General features: G+C 42.6%; 1 long non-coding RNA gene across 1 annotated transcript in view; it reads left to right on the top strand.

Moving 5' to 3' along the window:
- Window positions 1-16,715, top strand: part of LOC101927588 (uncharacterized) — a 54,708-nt gene that overhangs the window by 26,089 nt on the left and 11,904 nt on the right. Inside the window, exon 2 of the long non-coding RNA NR_125420.1 lies at window positions 12,989-13,194. This is a non-coding gene — a long non-coding RNA (uncharacterized LOC101927588). The remainder of the gene's footprint in view (window positions 1-12,988; window positions 13,195-16,715) is intronic.

Below are 16,715 nucleotides of genomic sequence, written 5' to 3'. Positions count from 1 at the left end.
TCCTCCACATGTACTCCTGAACTTAAAATAAAGAATTTACTCGAGTGTTCTTGATGAAGCAGTTAAAAACTTAATTTTATTAAATCTTGACTTTTTGAGTACACCCTTTTTCTTCTTTCTTTCCCTCTTTTAGACAAGGTCTTGCTCTGTTGCCTAGCTGGAGTGCAGTGGCACGATCTTAATTGGCTGCAAACTTCGCCTCCTGGGCTCAAAAGATTCTCCTGCCTCAGCTTCCCAAGTAGCTGGGACTACAGGTACATGCCACCATGCCTGGCTAATTTTTGTATTTTTTTGTAGAGGCAGGGTTTCACCATGTTGGCCAGGCTGGTCTCGAACTCCTGACCTCAAGTGATCCACCCCCCTTGGCCTCCCAAAGTGCTGGGATTACAGGCATGAGCCACCGTGCCCGGCCCCATTTATGTGTGGTGAAAGGGAAACTATGGTGCCCATCAAACACTTCTGCTGCATACTAATGCAAAACAGTTGTCTAGAAGAAATGCAATTGTGCTATTGTTTGAGTTTTTCAGGAAACACTATTGGTTTTTCTTTTTAAGCAAATGACTGACAAACCACGGTTACTCATACTTGAATATTTGGCAGATAGTTTCTCAAAAATGAATGAAGTGACTCTGTTATTTCAAGGAAACTTACTGACAGTATTTGTTTAAGTGATATAATTTGCATTTTGAGTGAAAATTAGCATTTTGAAACTGTTCTGTCATTCTGAGCCTGAACAGCCTCCAGTAGTAACACTTTTCTGCTGCGACTGATTGTGGTATTAACAAATGTGATTATTTTTATTATTATATAATGAATTATATTAACATTGGGACGATCTATATAATCCAGCGAACCATGTATTTCCAAATGATCGAGGTATGATATTACAAAATCCATACGTGGGCAAAAGATTCACTCAAAGTGTAAGATAAATCAATGGACTTTAATGTAGCAGAGTTTAAGAAGTTCACTGAGGGCTGGGCATGGTGGCTCATGCCTGTAATCCCAGCACTTTGGGTGGCTGAGGCAGGCGGATCACAAGCTCAGGAGTTAGAGACCAGCATGGCCAATATGGTGAAACCCCGTCTCTACTAAAACTACAGAAATTAGCTGGGCGTGGTGGTGGGCACCTGTAATCCGAGCTGCTTGGGAGGCTGAGGCAGGAGAATGGCTTGAACCCGGGAGGCGGAGGTTGCAGTGAGCCGAGATTGCACCACTGCACTCCAGCCTGGGTGACAGAGTGAGACTCCGCCTCAGAAAAAAAGAAAAAAGAAAAGAAAAAGAGAAGTTCACTGAAATTTCAGATTCTATATTATCATCAATCTTTAAGACACTACCATTTGCCAAGTTAGGTACAGTATCAAACAAGAAGATCCACAATGATCTGAAAAAGCTTTTGAAATCCGCCCTCCTCTCTTCCAAACCACATATTTGTGTGAGGCAGGAATTTCTTCTTATACTCCAACTAGACTAGTTATTACACCAGATTGAATGCAGACACAAATATGAGACTCTAGCTGCCTTCTGTTAAGCCAGACATTAAAGAGATTTGTAAAAATATAAAACAATGTTACTCTTCTCTCTAAATTATTTTGAGTTGTAAATACAGATTTTTTCATAATGTTATTTAATATATAATGGGTTTATTATTGTTGCTTTAGATGAATTGATAATAAGTATTCTGAACTTTTTTAGTTTTAATTTCTAAATATGGTAAATATCAAGGGGAACATCACACACCAGGGCCTGTTGTGGGGTGGGGGGAGGGGGGAGGGATAGCATTAGGAGATACACCTAACGTAAATGACGAGTTAATGGGTGCAGCACACCAACATGGCACATATATACATATGTAACAAACCTGCATGTTGTGCACATGTACCCTAGAACTTAAAGTATAATAATAAAAAAAGAAAAAAAAGAATAATAGAAAAAAAGAAAAATAAATAAATATAGCTCATATAACCAAAAAGAATGTAAAGACCTCGTTAATTTTTTGTTTGTTTTTTCTTCAACTTCTAAGTTCAGGGGTACATGTGCAGGATGTGCAGGTTTGTTTCATAGGTAAACGTGTGCCATGGTGGTTTGCTGCACCTATCACCCCATCACCCAGGTATTAAGCCCAGTGAAAGAACTCACTAATTTTTAATAGTATAAGGGAGTCTTGCGATGAAAAATTTGAGAATCAGCCTGGGCATTATGGCTCATATCTGTAATCCCAGCATTTTGGGAGGCTGAAGCAGGAAGATCACTTGAAGCCAGGAGTTTAATACCAGCTTGGGCAACATAGCAAGATTCTGTCTCTAAAAAAAATAAACAAAAATAAGAAAATTCGTTGGGCATGGTGACCCACCCCTGTAGTCCTAGCTACTTGGGAGGCTGAGGTGGGATGATTGCTTGAGCCCAGGAGTTTGAGACTGCAGTGAACTATGATTACACCATTGACTCCACTCCGGGCGACACAACCAGCGACCTTGTCTCTGAAAAAAAAAAAAAAAAAAAAAAAAAACTTGAGAACCACTGACCAAGAGAGTTAAATTGCCCTTGGGCGAGCTGTTAAACAATGGTCCACTAAGTCTTTGAAAGGACACACTGTCTTTCACCACATTTTCAAGTTTTGGGTAATTTTTCTTAGCGCTTTTATCCATTCTAATAGATAGAGTTATCTATTGAGTGAGTTTTTATGCATTATTAAAATTGGGTCTTCATAAACTAAAAGTAATTTTGACTCAGAATTTTGAGTACACCTAAGAAACTGAGGTGTCATTTCCCAAGACAAAAGTCCCAATATGCACGCATACACGCGGATATTTGGAGTTCTGTTGGAAAGCAGAAATTAAACGGTATGTAAGTTGTGAAATCTTTTACACTTCTTAAAAGGACAAAGTAAAGTATATGGAAAAACTGCTTATGTAGAGGGAGACAGGGTATCACAGGTGCTAGGTAAGTAGCTGAGCCTGAGATTAAATTCCAGCTCTCTCCACTTGCTATTTGTTTAATCTCAGGAAAGTTAATTAACCTCTCTAATTCTCAGTTCCCTGAGACTAATAATACTTACCTCTCAGGGTTGTAGTTAGGATTTAAGGGTAAGTAGGTGTAAAACGTGTTATAGAATGCTAGGCACAAGATGAGCCCTTAATGATCATTCTTTTCATTATCTTTGTTACCATATAAAGCGTAACCCCTTGTATTAATTTTCTGCTGCAGCTGGTGCATATTGTTACTACATACTTAGTGACTTAAAATGACAGAAATGTATTCCCTTACAGTTCTGGAGGGCAGAAGTCTGAAATGTGTCTTGTGGGGCTAAATTCAATATGTTGGCAGGACTGGTTCCTGCTCTAGGCTCCTGGGGAGAATCTGTATCTTGCCTCTTCCAATAGTGACACTCCCAGTGGCTGCTGGCATTCACTTGCTGTGGGTACATCACTCCCCTCTCTGCATCAGTCATCACATCAACTTCTCCTCTGCTGTAGTCCAGTGTCCCTCTTGCCTCCCTCCCACGGGGCCATGTGTGATTACATTTAGGGCTCACTTGGATAATCCAGGACCATCTCCCCATCTCAAGGCCCTAACTTAATCACACCTGCAAAGTCCCTTTTGCTATATAGGGTAACATTCCCAGGTTCCAGGGTTTAGGACATAGATATTTTGGGGGACCATTATTCAGCCTCCTAGACCCTCTCATTTTACAGTGAGAAAACTGAGTCTCCTCAGAGGTGAGGATATTTGCAGAGAAGGTGATGCGGCTAATCTAGAGTGAGAAAAGGCCGGATCTCTACCTCCACTCCCACCGATCCCTGATTTGGAAACTGCCTGAGGCCCCTGATCTCCTGGGCTGGGCCTTTTTTTCCGAACTCCCCTGCGCCCCCTCCCAGAGCTGCCACTGCACGCAGAAATCCAGGGCATCATTGCCATCATATTCCACAAATTCATGGACACAATGCATGATTTCTGCCTTGAATTGTGCAACATGGTATCTCTCCCTTCTCAGTGATCAGGGATTGAGAGTCATACATCTATTTCTACAGTTTTGCGGGCATCAAAGTCACTTCATGTCCAGAGTGAAGATTGATCATGGTATGGTTTGTATCCAGGTGCCTAACATAAGACCAAATGACCCAAGGCTTGGCCTGTCTACAGCATCCTCATAATATGAATAATATCCAGGGGATTCAAGATTAAGAAAGATCTTAATCTTTCTTAAGAGTTCCTTTGTTCCAGCTACATATTTCTAGCCATTATAGCTCATTCCATCTCATCCCACCACCCAACAGGCTCACCCCCAGGCTGTTTATGTTCCATGGTTCCAGGGATCCATTGACCATGGGGCCTCTGCCTATCAGGGTGTGGCAGGGTGGACCATGAATGGGTTCCTGGGAGAGACAGCAAAGAGAGTTTTGCAGCTGACAATGAAATGCTGTCAAGATTTGAGACTCTTGAATAAGAAGCAAGCAAAAGCCCTCTTTCCCAAGCCCATTTTCCTAAGGAAGATCTTTTATAGTGGGTTTAATGGTACTCTGCAGCAAGATCCAGCCTTGTCCTTATCCCTGGAACCTGAGAATATTACTATATATGACACAGGAGCGACTATTACCTTAATAGTAGCAGATGTGATTAAGGATCTTGAGTTGGGGGAGATTATCCAGGATTATCTAGGTGGGTCCTAAATGCCTTTACAAGTGATTTTATAAGAACGATGCAAAGGGGCCGGGTGCGGTGGCTCACGCCTGTAATCCCAGCACTTTGGGAGGCTGAGGTGGGCGGATCACTTGAGGTCAAGAGTCTGAGACCAGCCTGGCCAACATGGTGAAACCCTGTCACTACTAAAAATACAAAAATTAGGTGGGCGTGGTGGCGGGTGCCTGTAATCTCAGCTACTTGGGAGGCTGAGGCAGGAGAATCATTTGAACTCGGGAGGCAGAGATTGCAGTGAGCCGAGATTGTGTCATGGCACTCCAGCCTGGGTGAAAGAGCAAGACTCCGTCTCAAAAAAAAGAAAAAAAATAAAGAGGCAAAGGAAGAGGAGGGGACAGGGACACCCAGAAGAGAAGGCCATGTGAAGTCACAGGCAGAGATTGGAGTGAAGTGACTAAAAACCAAGGAACACCAAAGAATGCCTACAGGAGCTGGAAGAGGAGGGGAAAATATTTTTCCATGAACCCTTCTAAGGGAGTGAGGCCCTGCTGACACCTTGATTTCAGACTTCTGTCCTCTAGAACTGTGAGAGAAACAAATTTCTGTAGTATTAAGCCATCCAGTTTGGGATAAATTGTTACAGCAGCCTCTAGGAAACAAATACATCTTTGATGGGCCGTGACAGGCACACTAGCAGATTATATGACAACAACAGTAATAACAACTAGTATTTTGTTGAACATCCATTCTCCAGCAAGCACTGCACTAAGCACCTAGTGCATCATTTCAATCAGTTACACAATCACTTCATCAGACAAGCATCATTGTCATGCACCATTTGTAGGCAAGGAAGCTGCAACTTAGGAAACTGGGCTACACAGCTAGCAAGGGAAGGAGCTGGGATGAGACCCAGGGTCTGTCTGATTCTGTTGGGTATCATCAGTAACCTTCAGAATTACTCCAAGTACAGCCCATTTCATTGAGAACAGGAGTAAGGGAAAAAGAGCAGAGCAGAGCAGAGGGCACCAGCTGCTGGCAGAGAGAGGTCCAGCCTTCCTGGGAGCACTTTGGCAGCTGCTCAGAGAATGTGTGAGCTACCCTCAAACCCTGCCAGGGGAAGGGTGGAGCTTGGCAGATGTGTGTGGAGGGGACAAAGGGGTGTTGGGGCTCAGAAATGCTCTTGGTCACTATTCAGAGCCAAAGACCATTTCATGGTGGTTCTCACTACCTGCACCTTCCGCCTAGACTGGCAAGGCAGCCAGGAAGCAGTGTTTCATGCAGTGTGGACATCAGAGGCTGGTGTTGGTCTGGTGGGTCCTCTAAGACAGTCTAAGGAGAGTCTGTCCAGATCCCTGGGAAGGAAGGCCTTGCTTGTCAAGTCATCGCTATTACATTACCTTATGCACTTGGAGGGAATTTTTATTTTCTCCCCAGGGACCAGTTTCTTTTTGATCTTACACGTCTGCTAAGGTCTATGAACTCAGCTCTTGAAGCCAGTGCAAGCTCAAAGGAAGGGAAAAAGCCAAGCAGATACCTCTCCTACACCAAGCTCAATTTAACATAGTTGGGGACAGCCTGGGTAGGCTGAGCTTCATGAGATTTCAGATCTTTGGTATTATTATACAATTGTTTTAGGAGCAAATAGGGATGGGCTCCACTGGAGATCAGGCATGTGCAAGTAATTATTTGGGATAAGAAACTTGTTGCATTTGGTGTAGCAGAAACAGAGGGAGGACAAACAGACTCCACCAGCAATTCTTTATTCATTATTCTGGGCTGTTAAAAAGCTATTCAAAGACCCTAATCTTTTTCTGTAGCCCATGGCTAAGGGTATTTACAAGGAACAAAATTAATAAGGTGAAAGGACAACATTTATTCAGCACCTTCTGTATGCCAGGTGTTTTGCATGTGGTATTTAACTTAATTTTCAAAACAATCCTGGAATAAAAATATTATTTCTCACATCTTTTCTTTTCTTTTCTTTCCTTTTTTTTTTTTTCTTTTTTTTTTTTTTTTTGAGAAGCAATCCCGCTCTGTTGCTCAGGCTAGAGTGCAATGGCACGATCTCAGCTCACTGCAACCTCTGCCTCTCGGGTTCAAGCGATTCTTGTGCCTCAGCCTCCCGAGTAGCTGGCACTACAGGTGCCCGCCACCACACCTGGCTAATTTTTGAAGTTTTAGTAGAGATGGGGTTTTGCCATGTTGGCCAGGCTGGTCTTGAACTCCTAACCTCAAATGATCCACCTGCCTTGGCTTCCCAAAGTATTGGGATTACAGGCGTGAGCCACCATGCCTGGCCTTCTCACATCTTTTCAAATAAAAAAAGCTAAAGCTCATTGAAGTTAGGTCACCTTACTTGCCACGTAGGGTTAGTAAAATGGCAAAACTAGAATTCCACAATCCATACTATTTTCACCACACCAGGCAAAATAAATGAACACTATGATGGAACTGGTAAGTACCATGAAGGAAATACACCAGGGAGATATGATGAAGCATGATGGGGAGAGGGAGGAATGCTCAGGTAAAGGGGTCAGAGCAGCAACAGAGAGGCTGATATGTGTGACCCTCACATGTACCAAAGGGATGTCTTGCAAATATCTGAATGAAACACATTGCATACAATTACATATGTAAATTCAAAAACATATTTTTCTTTGCTATTTTTGTTAGATCTAAGGGTGCACACTGATTTCTGAGCCAAAATGTCTCCAGAGTAACCCCTCTCAACTGAATGATGGATTAACTGGCAGTGGCTATTGAAAAATAACAGGCATTTTTGCAGGATTACACCATTTCCTCGGGGAGTGGGCCATTCTTCAATTGAACAAGTATTTAGTGAGTTTGTTGATAACCTCACACTCTCAGTGGCAGAAGGGTCATGGAGAGGTAGTGGCCCATAGGGGACACAAAAGTGTTAATAGAGGATAATGGGTGCCGTGACCACCTTCTGCCTGGACCCTTCTAGACAGTCTCCATGAGCTCACTGACCCTTCACACTCTAGTGCAATGTGCTTCAAAGTGGGGTCCACGGATCAGGGCCAGTCCACCAAATATTTCTTACCCAATTGGGAGGAGGTACAGAGTCCAAGAGTAAGTGCTTAGGGACATTTAGAGCAATTTAACATTACCACGACATTTTTTGTTGTGTTTTACAAAATATTAATCACAACAGATTAGAAATTATAATATTTGGTCTTTCACCACAGATAGTTGGAGAAGTCCATCTGGTATCATTAGAATGAACTTTCTAGCATGCAAATCTGGTCATGCATAAAGCCTTTTGATCTACCAAAAATAACAATGTTTGGATGTACATCTATAATTATATAAATATATGTGTTCCATTTAGATATTTTTAAGTCTCCCTGACTCATGTTTATTATATATGTGAAGGTCACATTGTTGGTTAGTCATAGTGTTAATATGTTTATTTTCCACAGAATGTTAAATACTTCTATTTTCTATATTTTTTAATGAGAAAAAATATCCAAAATCCTTAGCAGGCAAGCCAGGCCCTTGATGATCTAATCCCAACACCCCCCTTCCCTCGAGCCTCCTTCTCACCATTCTCTTTCATGACTCTGTGCCTTGTCTAGAATGTTTACTCTGCTGAAAAGCCTCTTCCCTATCTTAGCCTGGTAAAGTCTTTTTAACCCGGCTCAAGCGTTATTTCCTTCTTTAAACCCTGACCTCCTACTCAGCTTTAGTCACTCCTTATTCTGTGCTCTCATAGGACATTGTAGACCTGGGCCATAAGACTCAGCAGTATTGTAGTTATCTGTCTGTTCCCCATCGCACATCCTTTCCCGTCCTGTGCACCTGATGGGAAACCTCTCATGCTTTGAGACTCAGAACAAAGATTACCTCTTCCCTGAAGTCTTTCCATACCACATACAGTTTTAACAGCTTTCTCCTTGGTATTGCTATTATACATTGAACATGTATGGTTCACTCATTTATTCAACACAAATTTATGTTTTATTGAGCACCTACTATGTGCAAGATCCCAAAAGGACAGAAAGCTCACATTTTAGAGGTTTTTTTTTTTAAGCAAATAAACAGTAAACACAATCATTTCAGGTGGTTATAAGTACTGTGAAGGAAATACATCAGGGTGATATGACGAAGTATGATGGGGACAGAGAGGACTGCTCAAATGAAGGGGTCAGGGAAGCAACAGAGAGAATGACATGTGAGCCTGAAGGGTAAGGAGCCAAGCATTGTAAGAACAGGTACAAGTGTGCTCTAGGCAGAAGGAAGAGCAAGTGCAAAGGCCCGTGGGTGGGAACACATTTGCCATATTCCAGGGATACAGGAAAGCCAGTGGGTCTGGGGCAGGGTGAGCAAGGAGGGGAATGATAGGAGATGAGATGAGATCAGATTGGGAGGCACAGGCCATAAGTCTAGGACTTTTCAGGCCATGGCAAGATTACATTTTATTTTAAATGCAGTGGAATCCGCTTGAAGATTTAAGCAAAGGAACGATACAATCTGGTTTTTACCTTTCAAAGACCATTCTGATTGATATGTCAGGGATCAATCCTGAAACACCACTTGAGAGGTGAAAAACCACCTCTCAGTGGTTCAGTTGAGAAGCGATGGTGGCCTGGACAGGATAGTAGTGCTGGACATGGGGAGAAGGAAGGAAGGATTGATATGTCAGGGATCAATCCTGAAACACCACTTGAGAGGTGAAAAACCACTTCTCAGTGGTTCAGTTGAGAAGCGATGGTGGCCTGAACAGGATAGTAGTGCTGGACATGGGGAGAAGGAAAGGTTCAGGTCACGTTTTGAAAGTTGGACAGACAGAATAGGTGATGGCTTGGAAGGTGCACCATAATACTACAGCATGTAAGTGTAGGAATGGTAGAGTTTTTATTGGCCCTGAATCTGGGATTTAGTGAATGGTCCAGACAAAATATCTCTGATAAAAATTTCCGCTAGGGAAGCAATGTGAATTTGATTGTGTGCTAGCAGAAGTGTAGGCATTAGCATCTGAATCTGCAGACATTTTCTGATCCAACACTGCCCTTATGTTAGAGAAAGCAAATATTGGCTTGTTGGTGGAAAAGTGTCCAAATTCTAAGTCTAAGATAAAGCCCTGCACCTCACCCCAGAGACCACTCTCTTGCCTGGCAGCGAACCAATGAGCAGCCCCATTTGAACGTCATAGGTCTATCCCAATATCGGCCAAACAAAGGTATCCAGAAGACAAAATGGCAGGTCTCTGGACAAAGAAAGGGCACAACAGCCAAGGGTTCACTTTGTTGCTTGGTCCTCTGTTTTTTTCCCAGCATTTCAGAACTCCTTAGAAATCTGAGTGAATCAGGATTTGAATCAGCATGACTCCACAGTCCATATGAGAACCTCAGGGACATTAATTGTGACTGTACTCATTAGCATAAATGGCAGGTGAATCTGGTGTGCATAAATGGCAGGTGAATCTGGTGTCAATCACACTTCACCTTCCTTTGTCCAGGGAGGAGCTGGCCACAGCTCTAGCAATAGCAATAGTAATAGCTTCAGAAATGTGAGCCATTCTAATAAATCAGACTTTACTTTTTAAATTGGGGCAGGAAAAAAAAAAGAAGCTTAGCTGATGACGGTCATAATGGGCAGTATGACAAGTGCCAATTTTCTTTCTTAAATGATGTTTTAAAAAGCCTTCTTTCAACAAAAGTCATCAGCATCGTATTCATTGCAGAGGACATTTTTGGAATACTGATGTATGTTAATTAGCAAGCATATATTTTACACCTGCTGGAAGCTAGGTCTGGGGGTGGGGAAGGAATAGAGAGATGAATAAGATGTAAAAAGTTCCCTGGCAAAGGTCAGTTATTCAACTGATAGATCCTTGGTTGAGGCAGATCTGAAGAAAATGGTTGTAAAACAGGGGTAAGTGTGGTCAAACCTTGAATAATTGTTGTAAACAAAAGGCCCTAGAAACAGAGAAAGAACCCAACTGCTTGTATGATATGGAGGCAGTGTAATGAGCATTAGCTTTGGGGCCAAGTAGATTGGGTTAGAATTATACCACCCACCAGCGTTTTTATCTTGGGCAAGCCGGACTAACTTCTCTGAGCCTCAGTGTTCTCATCCACGAAATAGAGAAGGATGCTTATCTCCAGAGTTATGTAGTGAAAATAAGTGATATGAAGTATATGAAGTGTCCAAAGACCTAATACATAGTTGGTGTTCAATGAATGTTGAAAATGGTAACATAGATGGTAGGTAGAAAATGTTGAAATAGATTCTTAGTGTGTGGATTGCTCTATTATAATTTCTTTTCCCTTTCTGATGAAAAGTTACCATATTCTGGGGTATCTTAGACTCCCTAGGGAAGAGGAGGTTCTAATATTATCTGTGCTTAAATATACCAGATAAACTGATGCAATGTGATGGGTAAATGGCTAATTAGATAAGATACTGGGCCTGGGAAAGAATCACTAGCTTCAGAATAAATAGTGGCTAGAAGGAAAGCAGGTGTAGGTTTTAGGGCTTGATATCCAGGAGAATTAGGCTAGAGGCCCATATTGTAAGGGGCAAAGGGATAGTAGAGACCCTCTAATTCAATCTCTTCTTAGTACAGTTAAAGATACTGAAACCTAAAGAGGTTGAGTCACTATTCCAAGACCCTCTGAGGAAGAGCCAAGGCTGCAGTGTGAGCCTGTGAACTCTGTGTTCTTCCATTTCCTGTTCCTTGTTTCCTGGAGATCTGAAAGCAGATGGCAGTGCACGAGTCAGAAATACTGAGCTTGGAAAGTCAGAGAAGAATCTAATTTCTGAGCTCAACTCCTCTGCTTCAATATGGGAAACCACCACTTAACATTCCGTTAGAGAAACATGCTGTAGCAGTCAGAACCCACTGGTTAGGAACCAAGGCAGAAAGAGAGAAGTCAGGTCAACAATGCTTGGGTCAATGTGCTCGCTTGAGCATCTTTAGCTGATTCTAGATAATTGGTTAGTTGGTTGACTTAAACCTGTCCCAAAGGTGGCCCCTGGAAAATGAAGTTTAGATACTGAAAATCTCTCAGGATAATTTAGAGAAATAAAGGAGAAATTAAAATTGTAGACAGAAAAATGGAGTATTACATAAAAGCTACCTAACTACTCCCTAAACATATTTTCTGAGAGAACTAAAAAAAGAAACTCCTTTCTCCAAGCCTTGGGTAATACATTGGCAAAGAAAGAACCAGCATCATTGAAAAATGCTGGAGGGGCTATTTGTGAAAACCAGGGATAATGATAGAAGATACTGAAGTTGAATGGCCTTCCTGATGTCATCAAGGATCTGGATGGCATTGGTCACATAGCTTCACTCAACCACTGGAGGCAATAGGTGTGGCGACCAGAGTAAGCAGACATGCAGGGGTGGCAATCCCAGTGCTCTGGGCTTTGGTGGTGGTGAATTTATCATGGAGTCCCAAGGGTGAAAATAGATAGGCAAATCATGAAGGTTCTACTTGAAACCTTAAAATTGAACACAAAACAAAACAAAACAAAAAAACCCAAACAAATTTTAAAACTCTCTTTTTCTGCCTGTAATCCCAGCACTTTGGGAGGCTGAGGATGGCAGATCACTTCAGGTCAGGGGTTTGAGACCATCCTGGCCAACGTGATGAAACCCCATCTCTATTAAAAATACAAAAATTAGACGGACATGGTGGCAGGCACTGTAATCCCAGCTACTCGGGTGGCCGAGGCATGGGAGGCGCAGTTTGCAGTGAGCCAAGATTGCGCCACTACACTCCAGCCTGGGTGACAGAGTGAGACCCCCATCAGAAACAAACTACAACAACAACAAAAACACCTCTCCTTTTCTGGGAACTAGAGCTCATACTTGAGCCATCAAGTCATCAAAAGAGAATAGAGTCAGTTCACAAAGCTAGAGAACTGAGAACACTTAGAATGAGTGGAAGATTGAGTACCCTGAGGAAGACCCTCCAAAATCATCTCAAGTATGTAAGCACATCTTCCCTCCAGCCTTCTGAAAGGGTCCTGCAGTCATTTACCAGGGTAATTTTATTCTGAGGAAAGAAGTTACACAGATTTTTAGGGTTCATGATGCCGACTTTGAGCTATCCTTAATTCATGGGGACTTAGCACACTACTGTGGGCCAATAATCAGAGTAATGCCAGCCTCTAAAATGAAGTGCAGCATTCCTTGCCTGCTGTATCCATACCCTTGTGGAATCCCTTCTGCTTGAATGTGGGCTGGGTTTATTTGGTCTAGTAAATGAAATATGGCAGAACTTAGGGAATGTCACTTCCAAGATTGGGTTATAAAAAGATTTTTTTCTTTTTTTTGGACCTTGGGTTCTCTTTCACACTCTCTTGAATTGCTCAGCTGGGGGAAGAAAGCTCCCATGTTGTGAGGCATAAAAAGGCCCACATGTCAAAGAACTACAGCCTGCCAGCGACCACGTGACTGAGCTTGGAGGTGGATCATCCCTCAGGGAAGCCTTGAGATGACAGCAGGCTGGGAGGGATGCTCAGCCAGGACCATGCAGCCATGCTGCTCCGGCATTCCTGAACCACAGATGCTGTGAGATGGTAAGTGCTGTTCTCAGCTATTAAGTTTTGGGTAACTTGAGACGTAGCTATAGATAACTAATACCCAGTGTCGGGTGATCCACTCTATTTTTATTGTAGGCTGCTTTGCAACAGACTCACTAGAGCCTTCAGCTCACCCTGTGGTTATTTCTCTAGTCCTGTAGTGTCTGATGGAATCATAGAGGCTCAGCTTGGTAGAATTCCATAGTAGAATTCCATATTGCCCCTGGGACCCATAAATAAAGGCTACTATTGCAGAAGAGAGAAAATGAAAGCTCCCCCTCCCTGCCAGAAAAGTAAATCAAGAGCAGCCACCCTTTCCTGAGGGAACTGCAGAAATGTGTGGCATCACCAAAGACTTGAAATATATATGAGTGGTTATTTCTGTATATCACTATATTTAGTTGGTACAGAAAGATACTTGGAGGTTAAAAAATAGCAGTGGACTATCAAAAGCTTAATCAGGAAGAGACTTCTATTGCAGTCACTGATCCAAGTTGTGATTTCCTTATTGAAGCAAATTGACAAAGTCCCAAAACCTCAAAAGCCCGTGGTCCCTAATATACAACTATTAATTTGCAAAATGCTTTTTCAGCTATCCCAATGAGAAGACAAAAACAAGAAGCAGTTTGCTTTTACCTAGAGGAGGCAACAGTACATCTTCACCATTTTGCTTCAAAGTTATGTCAACTCTGGCTCTGCCATAACTTAGTACATAGGAGACTTTCTCATCTTATCATTTTGCAGGGTATCCTGTGAGTCTGTTATATTGATGACATATTGTGGATAGTCTGGAGAGCAGAAGGAGCAGGTTCACTTGTATCTTGCCAAGACATGTGTGCCAGAAGGTGCTGATACCTCAGGGAAGTTTCTGGGTGTTAGTGGAATACTCTTTCTGAAACAATATCTTAGTTCATAATAAGCTGCTTAAGTAGCAAGGTGCTGCATGGCCAGGTACATCGTCCCCTCTTACTCATGGTTTTACTTTGTGAAGTTTCAGTTGCCTATGGACAACTGCAATCTGAAAATATTAAATGGAAACCTCCAGAAATAAATAACTCATTTGTTTTAAGTTGCACTCCATTCTGAGTACTCTACAAAATCTTGCTCTGTCCTATTCCATCCTGCCCGGGACACAAATCTTCCATTTGTCAAGCATATTAACGCTGTGTATGCTACTGTTTGTTAGTCACTTAGCAGCCATCTTGGTTATTAGATCAAACAAACAAAATACATAGGGTTTGGTACTATCTACAGTTTCAGACATCCACTGGGGGTCTTGGAATGTATCCCTTACTGATAAGGCAGGGGGACTACTCTGTTAAGTTTCTCCCATGGCCCAGAAACAAGCTGAGAGCTGTTATTTGCCTAAGAAACATGGTTTTATTCTAAAACCAGGGGCCTCTGCTATGATTCTCCTATGAGGGCTTACTGCAGTTCCCAAAGAGCCTTACGATATTAATTCTAATAACACTGGTACTTCCAACCTACTTCATCAATTGGGTTATGTATTAGGGTTCTCTAGAGGGACAGGACTAATAGCACAGATGTATATATGAAAGGGCCAGCCTGACCAACATGGTGAAACCTCATCTCTACTAAAAATACAAAAATTAGCTGGGCGTGGTGGCGCATGCTTGTAATCCCAGCTACTCGGGAGGCTGAGACAGGAAAATCGCTTGAACCCAGGAGGCAGAGGTTGCAGTGAGCCAGGATTGTGCCACTGCACTCCAGCCTGGGTGACAGAGCGAGATTCCGTCTGAAAAAAGAAAAAAAGAAAAAGGGAGTTTATTAAGGAGTATTGACTCACATGATCACAAGGTAAAGTTTCACAATAGGTTGTCTGCAAACTGAGGAGCAAGGAAGCCGTCCCAAAAACCTCAAAAGTAGGAATGCTGACAGTACAGCCTTTAGCTTGTGGCCAAAGGCCCAAGAGCCCCTGGCAAACCAGTAGTGTAGGTCCAAGAGTCCAAAAGCTGAAAAATTTGGAGTCCAGTGCTTGAGGGCAGGAAGCCTCCAGCACAGGAAAAAGATGGAGGCCAGAAGACTCAGGCCAGTCTAGTCCTTCCACGTTCTTTGTCTGCTTTTATCCTAGCCGTGCTGGCAGCTGATTAGATGGTGCCCACCCAGCTTGAAGCGGGGGTCTGCCTCTTCCAGTCCACTGACTCAAATGTTAATCTCCTTTAGCAACTCCCTCACAGAAACACCCAGGGACAATACTTTGCATCCTTCAATCCCATCAAGTTGAGACTCAGTGTTAACCATCAAAGATTATAAGAGCTGAAAGTCTGAGCTGCTTGAATGGTGCCATCTAGGAGAATATTTCTTGCTTTAAATATCAGGGTAATATCAGCCTTTTAGGTCACCAGATAAATAAATTTGGGGCGCACAATCAAATATGGTACTTCTCAAATCCAAAGAAGCTTGTAAAGCCTATTTTTCTGTCACTGTTAATGTGCCCCAAATCACATATCTAACAAATGGAACCAGGTTTCAAAGCCAGGTCAATTTGGTATAATAGGAGCACAAATTTTCAGTAAGGCAGGCCCAAGGTCAAATTCAAGGTATCCCACAGTATCAGTTTCCTATTGACATCATAAAAAATTATCACAAACTTAGTGGCTTAAAACAATACGAATTAATATTCTTGTAGTTATATAGGTTAAAAGTCTGGTGCAGATCTCACTGGGCTAAAATCATGGTGTCAGCAGGGCTCTGCTCCTTCTGGAGAAGCTAGAGAAGAATCTGTTTCCTTCTGTCCAGGTTCCAGAGGCTGCCTGTATTCCCTGGCTCATGGCTCCTTCCTCATCTTTAAAGCCAGCAATGTTACCTCTCTCTGACCATTCTTCTATATCTTCTACATCTCCCTCTGCCTCTCCTCTCCTGCCTCCCTCTTCCACTTTTAAGGACCCTCCTGCTTACACTGGGCCTATAAAGATCAACCAGGGGATCTCCCAATTTTAAGGTCAGCTGATTAGCAACCTTAATTCCGTCGGCAATTTTAATTCTCTTTAGCCATGGAATCTAAGATAGTCACAGCTTCTGGGGATTAGGACATGGACATTTGAAGGCAGGCACAGTGGGCTCAGTCTGTAATCCCAGCACTTTGGGAGGCCGAGGTGGGTGGATCACCTGAGGTCAGGAGTTCGAGACCAGCCTGGCAAACATGGTGAGACCCCATCTCTACAAAAAATACAAAAATTAGCCAGGCGTGGTGGTGCACATCTGTAATCCCAGCTACTTGGGAGGCTGAGGGATGAGAATCACTTGAACCCTGGAGGCGGAGGTTGCAGTGAGCTGAGATTGCATCACTGTACTCCAGCCTGGGTGACAGAGAGACTGTCTCAAAAAAAAAAAAAAAAAAAAAGACATGAGCATTTGAGAAGCGGCATTGTTTCATTTACCATGCCCACCTATTAGGTGAATTACCTTAGGCAAATTACTTAAATCTTTAATCCTGAGCTTCCTCTTTGTAAAGTAGGAATAATAATAGCCAGGTCACTGAGATGCTATTAAATGAG

The sequence above is a fragment of the Homo sapiens genome, chromosome 8, assembly GCF_000001405.40.
Source record: "Homo sapiens chromosome 8, GRCh38.p14 Primary Assembly".
Lineage (NCBI taxonomy): Eukaryota > Metazoa > Chordata > Mammalia > Primates > Hominidae > Homo > Homo sapiens.
The sequence above is the reverse complement of the archived record's forward strand: the minus strand, read 5'-3'. Positions and strand labels throughout refer to the sequence as shown.